Here is a 7,611-nt window from a genome sequence, read left to right as displayed (position 1 = left end):
ACTGAGAGGATTCCAATTCACTTTAAATATTTTCAAATACAATAATGTTGAAATTACAATAAAGTTATGTTATGTTTGATCCAATACTTGCATGAGGGTATGACTTAGTGCGTTTAAACAGCAACATCAGTATTATTTTCCAGCTCCCCAAGTGTCTGCTCAGGCTGCCACAACAAAATACCATAGAGTGTATTGCTTAATAGAAACTTATTTCTCACAGCTCTGGAGGCTGGAAGTATGAGAACAGGGTAATCACATGGTTTCTGGTGACAGCTGTCTGATTTGCAGATGACCAACTTCTTACTGTGTGCTCAAATGGCATGGCAGAGAGAGAGGGAGAGAAAGAGCATGCTCTCTGGTGTCTTTTCTTGTAAGGACTATCAGACAAAGGCTCCTTCCTCATGACCTCACCTCATCTAAACCTAATTATATCTTGAAGGCCCCTGTAGTGTGAAGGGTCCCAATCAGCTTACTAAAAGGTTTATTTCTGCTGCCCAAACCCTGAAGGCCAGGCCATGAGCCAAGGCCATGTTGCCCAGCCAGAGAGCAGGTGTCCCTGAGAACTCAAACATTCCAGACAGTATCTGAGAACCTATCAAGAAAAAGTCTCATCGCTTAAACACAGTAAGCAAGGAGCCAGAAAATTAGCTGAAAAGTACTTTAAAAATAATAAGCGGTGCAGATCTCTACAGCTGTCCTGCTGTTGTCCCGGAGTGCCTCCTATGTGAATCCTAATAATCTCATCTACTCGCCAAGCTGGACTTCTCCAAGTCATTTCTTGATCTCTTAGCTCACTCCCAGTTTGGGGGAAGGTATTTCTATATGATTCCAGGATTTTCTCCTTACAGCCCCATCTTCAAATACTATCACCTTGGAAGATAGTGCTTCAACATATGATTTGGAGGGTACATGAACATTCAGTTGATAGCATTCTGCCCCTGGGGCCCCCAAATTCATGCCCTTCATGCATGCAAAATCCATGCTTTCCAACCTCCCAAAACAACCCTTATTTCTTTGAGGACCCAAACAGCCTTTGTAGAACTAACAAATTAGCCACAAGATTAGAAATTATGGCTCAGGAGTCATGTAGTCAGAGGTCACAAGGCTCATAACCTCCCTAACTGCTTCTATAGATAGCATCACTATTGTAAAACTTAAGACTGGTGTGCAAGACCCTTCATTCTGTTGGACCAGCTGGTTCCACCTGGACTGGTAAGCTGGTTTAACTGGTCTTGTGATCTGACCCAGGAACTGACTTAGCACAAGAGGACAGCCTCAACCCCCATGACTTAATCCTTGACCCAATTAATGAGGATGACCCCTTCGCTAGCCCCCACCCACCAAATTATCATTTAAAAACCCTAGTCTCTAAATTTGGATCACAAGCACAGTGTTCTAGGAGTAAATTCAAGGGAAAGCTGGTTGAGATAGAATAGGGGTGTGGGGGGTGTGGAGTATAGCACAGAAAGTTGTCACAGCACAACCTTCCTCCTGTCTTGGGACTGAGGTGTGGGGGGTAGGGAAAACAGCCATGTACCCTCCTGAGTCCTGGAGACACCTGACAACCAAACAGCTTCTAAGGTTTTTTCCTTCTCAGTATGCAGGGCAACTTGGTTACTAGACATGCAAGAGAGACCCCCAGTGGCAACGTGTAGAAGTGAAGTATTTTCCCAAAGCATAAAGACCACAAAGAAACATAAGGGTAGAGGATGATGGCTTCCAACCCATTGTCTTTATCAAACTAATGCAGGGACAGAAAATCAAATACCACATGTTCTCACTTATAATTGGGAGCTAAATGATGAGAACACGTGGACTCAAAGAAGGGAACAACAGACACTGGGGCCTACCTGAGTGTGGAGGGTGGGAAGAGGGAGAGGAACAAAAAAATAACTATTGGGTACACGGTTTAGTACCTGGATGATGAAATAATCTATTCAACAACCCCCCATGACAGCAGTTTACCTATATAAAAACCTGCACTTGTTCTCTTGAACCTAAATAAAAGTTAAAAGAGTAGAGGATGATAATGGTGATAAACCATGAGTACCACATAGTGAACATACACTGTGCCAGGCATTGCTCTAAGTGATTTACATGTATTAACTTATTTAATCTCAACAACCCAATGGGGTTAATGCTTTTATTATCCCTATATTACATATGGAGAAACTGAGGCACAGAAAAGTTAAACAACTTACCCAAGTTTACCTAAAATGAGTGGCCAAGATGGGATTTGAACCCAGGCAATCTGAGGTTAAGAAAACACTACACCATATTTTCTCTCCAAAACAGAAAATTAAGAAGTCCCCTCAGTCAACTTAAAGTTTGAAACACTCAAAAATTAATGCTTGCTCTCTTCTTTCTCATATCCACAGGAGAACAGTCAAAGGACATATATATTTCAGTAGGTAATAGCTGAGACAAAGTCAGAGAATTCAGAAGTCCTTACAGCAGGCAGAGAAAGACCTACAGCGAGAAGACCAAATTTGACTAAGATGAGTAAAGGGACAATAGCATTTTCTGTAAACTGAACTCAAAGTGCCAGAATCCTAATTTTTAAGAAAAGTGTTACAGTGCACTCATATGGAAATGTGTAAGATAATTATTGCACTGCTAAACTTGTTTGTATCTTAATAAATGCTTATATGGTTTGACTGTGTCCCCACCCAAATCTCCTCTTGAATTGTACTGTCATAATTCCCACGTTTTGTGGGAGGGACCCAGTGGGAGATAATTGAATCATTGGGGCGGTTTCCCCCATACTGTCCTACCAGTAGTGAGTAAGTTTCACAAGATCTGATAGTTTGATAAGGGGAAACCCGTTTTGCTAGGCTCTCATTCTCTTGTCTTGTCTGCTGCCATGTGAGACATACTTTTCACCTTCCACCAGGATTGTGAGGCTTCCCCAGCCACGTGGAACTGTAAGTCCATTAAACCTCTTGCTTTTGTAAATTGCCCAGTCTTAGGTATGTCTTTATCAGCAGCATGAAAAACGGACTAATACAATGCCCAAAACAATCCACTAGCTTTAAAATGATGCAAGCTACCCAAGTGTCTCTGACTAAAGTATATATTCTGTAAATTTTTGACTTTTACCTTTGTAGCCCACAAAAGAAACAAGATTTTTTTGTTTCTTGTTTCTTTGTAACTTTCTTTTGTGGCACAGAAAATAGATGTTTTTAAGTATTTTTCAACAGACATGGACAATGTTATGGTTTACATGGATGGAGGTTTCCTTTGGTCAAATAGAGAGTAGACTGAGAGAGGAGAAGAGTTTTTAATGGGGAACAAGAAAAAAATCTTAGACAAACAGGTGTATCATTTCCATATGGAATCTTCTTCTGACTAGGAAATAATACCTTTCTATCCATAGCCATAAAGAAAAGGTAAAAGGCGAACTTTTCTCTATATCTTGAAAGGAGAAACCAGAGGCCACATTGAGCTTCACAGGAAGAGGATGATTTTGAGATAAGCTTGGGGGCAGACATTGGGAATAAGCTAATAAGCTTGGGGCAGATAAAGGTCAAGGTGGGACCAGCAACTCTCTGGGTGTTCAAACACATCAACCATCCTCTAAATGTTAGCTGCCCCGCACTTTGGACTAGATTTCTCATACTCTCCCTTATAGTCTCTTTCTGGTGAGGTCATCCAATCACATGACTTCAATACCGTCTATAAAATGTCCCCCATATGTCTACTTCGAAACGTGACATTTTTGCAGCTCCTTGATTCACATTTCCACTTGGATGTCTAATGAAAATCTGACTTTACATGGCATGCATTCCCCGCTCCTCCACCCCGGGGGACCCATGCAACCATCCCCACGGGAGATAATAACACCATCATCAACCCAGGTGCTCAGGTCCAAACTTCAGAACTTACATTATATTCCCCCTCTCCCACTCCTCACCTCCTGTCCATGAGTAAAGTTTGTCTCCCTTTGTCGAAAGTCCATCTGGAACTGGTCGACCTCTCTTCATTTCCTCAGCCACCATCACAGCTCAAGCTGCACTAGTCTCCTACCTGGATCGGCTATACTGGCTCTGCCTGGTCTGCACCTTCAACTCTCTGCCACCCCTCTACATTCTTCAGAGCAGACAGTCACTGCCTTGACATTTGGGGGCATTTATTCTACTTTATATTTATTCTACTTTATATTCAATATCACAAATTTGACCTTCAGCTTTGACCTTATGTTTTTCAGTCCTTCTTTTGAGCTGTTTTTTTAACCAGTTTAATGGAAGAAATGGTACAGTTGAAGGGCAAGATGCAGGAAGTCACCCCATATCTGTGGGGAAGGCAGCCTAAGGCTCAGTCCCATTATCCGTGTCACTCAGGGTGAGCTTGCCAAAGAGGTACTCTGCCATACTGTCCCCCAGAGCCCCCATCTTGCTGCCCAGAAGCAAGAATACTTAGCAATTGCATGTTTTAAAAAGATAACTTTTCATGTCAAGTTAAAGACTATTATTTTTATCCCCGCCCAATCTCATTCCCTTCCCTTCTTCTCCAGAGGCAACCGCTAGGATGAATTCCATACCATGTTTTATACCATACCATGCATACACACCCACAGATACCATGGCCCAAGACAGCACGCCCCACCCGACCCCACCCACCCCACACATCTCACCCCACCCTACCCCACCTCACCCCACCCCATCCCACATGCCCTCAAAGTTTATAAGGGGAAGACTAATGTATTTTCCAGGGGCCCATAAAATACCTTTCCCTTCCACCCCCGCAGATCCTGAGCTGCATGCAGATGGGGCAGGGCTGAATGGAAAGACTGCTGAATACCTACTTTAAACCTGCATGGGGATGTGCCCTGATTCCTAAAAGGTGAGAGTGCTGCAGATACGCATCAGCTGGACACCTTTATTGCTTTGAGAACAGATAACTTTATTGCCAACAACGGTAAAACTGAGAGGAGAAAAATGAAGAGAATGTTCTGAAAAGGGAACATGGACGTCCCGCCTGGTGGCGCGAGCAGGGGAAGGCACCCCGTGGCTGTGGGGCCTGTCTGGGCTCTGGTGTGTTTCTGGCTGCGGCCCAGGGTGAGCTTGTTAAAGAGGTACTCTGCCAGGCCTGCTTCCGGGGCCCCCATCTTGTGCAGGTTGCTCAGGTAGCCACCCAGCTCTTTGATGGTCTTGGCCTGCTGGTTCAGGAAGTCGTTCTCCAGGAAGTCGCAGAGCTGGGGGTCGCCGTTCTCCCTGGCCAGCTGGTGCAGCTCCAGGAGGCTCTGGTTGATGTTCTTCTCCAGGTGGAAGGTGCACTCCATGGCCTTGAGCCCGCTCTCCCAGCCTTGGCCCTCTGGCTTCCTGATGTCATGAAGGCAGATGCGGCCACCGCGCAGGTTCTGCAGGCTCATCAGCTCCTGGGCGTGCTCCCTTTTCTCCTGCGACTGGCGCAGGAAGTAGCGGTCAAAGTGCTCCAGGGCCGCGTCGTCCTGGTCGAAGTAGAAGGCCATGGACAGGTACACATAGGATGCGTGGAGCTCCAGGCTGATGTGGGTGTTGATGGCAGCCTCACAGCTGGGATGGTGGTACCGTCGCACCGGCGACAGCGGGCCCAGGGCGGGCAGCGCGGGCGCTGGGAGGAGGGGAAAAGCAGTGGGTTTGCCAGGGGCCCGGAGCGGGTAGTGGCATCGGCGTGGGCAGTGGCGGCAGCGGCGGGGTCCTCGGAGCACCACCATGGTGGACGACAGCGGCGGCTGGTGGAGGGCGTCGTCCCCCGGGCCCGGTGGTAGTGTGGTCACAGGCTCTGCGAAGGGACCGGAAGTGAGCGGTGGAGACCTTTATGCGGGGAGGAGCGCACAAGGTCGGGCGGGTGTGGGCTGGTGCGGAGCTGCGAGGGACTTCTGACAGGTGGGGGTGGGGGAGCACGCTGAGTTCTATGGGCAGCCCGGGGAATTGGGCACTATCAGACCTCTGTGCTACGTCAATTCTGTAGTAACTTTTCTAGTGTCCAAGGACTTTCGCCTGTCCCCTGATTGTTCCCCTCTATGACAGCTTGTTCTCATTTCATAAACTTCTTGTCTTTCTTAAACTCTGAGAGTATGTTCTGATAACGTTTTCTTCTGTTTCCTGTATTATATCCTTTTTTCCCTCCTCCAGAATTAGTTCTATTTGTGCATCTTCCTCACTTTCCTTAAATATCTGGAAAACGTTTGTCCATTCATGATTGGAATCAAGGACTGGGTTAGCCTCGGTGATGAGCATGGACCTAATGCACAGTTGTGAGTCTGGATGACCAGTAGGATTCTCCCATGAACAGGAGGGTGGAGGGTGTCAATTAGGGAGTGCTCATCTCCTTTGGAGATAAAGGTATAGAGCTCCCAGGCAGAGTAGGAACTATTCTAAATGCCCAAAGCATGGCATTTCTCTGGCACTGGAAAACTTTAGTGGATCTGTCTTCTAGGTAGATGTCAACTTCCCTTTAAATGCTCACCCATGTCTGCTGCACCCTGAAGCTTAATTCTGTCTGCAGGAGGGATGACTCCACATGATAGGGAATGTGATTTCAGATATGTTTTCAGGATCAAAGCTTAAACACCAGAGTAAAGACTCCTTTTTTAAAATTTACTTCGAAAAGTCCTGTATGTTCACAGTTTTAGGTACTCAATAACTAATCCCCGTGTCTTCCCTGCTGAATTTGAAACCAATTAGTAGACACAAGACTCAGCTCACTGAAGAACAAACTTAGGTCTGTAGCAAAATGAACTTGATAGTACTTTTCAAATCTTCCAATTAGAGAAACTCGCTGTGGCAGAATAACTTCACCAAAGCTTATTTGTTTTCATCTTGGTCCACAAGTAACCATATTTTTCAAGCTACTCTTGTGATTTGATGGGGACATGTACTGATTTCTGGCTATTGGAATATGAAAATAACTGATGTATGGCCAAATAAGGCCTAGTTTATAGGACACACCCTGTGCAATCCATGTCTCAAGTGAAGAAGAGGAACAGACCCTACAATATGACATATCCAATTTGGAGAAGGAGCCTGGAACTTTGGAAAACTTATGGAGAATGTCCCCTCATCATTGTCACCACCAACTTGCACTGGACCTTGATAAAAACAAAAAATAAAAATTTACTTTAAAAGCTAAAGAGATTAGAAACATTTGTTACAGGAGATAGCCTCTTCTAACTAATCAAATTAGCTAGTCAAAGAAGGTACTGGATAACCACAGGCTGTACCCACAGGGTCCTGTAGGCTTATGGCACTGGAGTGCATACCAGAACACACCCTCTCAGTGGGAAGGCAGATGAGAAAAAGGAGAGGTTTAGATAGCTCTGGGTTATCACACTTTCTTCCTTTTGCTTACTGCACCAAATACACACACATACACACACACACACACACACACACACACACACACACACACACACACACACACATATCTCAATCCTTCTCCTTTTTTTCCTTCTGGAGAGTGAAATTTAAAATCCCTCATTGGCCAGGTATGGCAGCTTACCACTGTAATCTCAGCACTTTGGGAGGCCAAGGCAGGCAGATTGCTGGAACCCAGGAGTTCAAGTCCAGCCTGGGCAACATGGCGAAACACCCCTCTACAAAAAAATATTTTTAAAAAAAAGGCATGGTG

General features: G+C 45.3%; 1 pseudogene; it reads right to left on the bottom strand.

Moving 5' to 3' along the window:
* FTH1P19 (ferritin heavy chain 1 pseudogene 19) lies at nucleotides 4,864–5,627 on the bottom strand (annotated as a pseudogene).

Source organism: Homo sapiens, chromosome X (genome assembly GCF_000001405.40).
Source record: "Homo sapiens chromosome X, GRCh38.p14 Primary Assembly".
NCBI classification, from domain to species: Eukaryota; Metazoa; Chordata; class Mammalia; order Primates; family Hominidae; genus Homo; species Homo sapiens.
The sequence above is the reverse complement of the archived record's forward strand: the minus strand, read 5'-3'. Positions and strand labels throughout refer to the sequence as shown.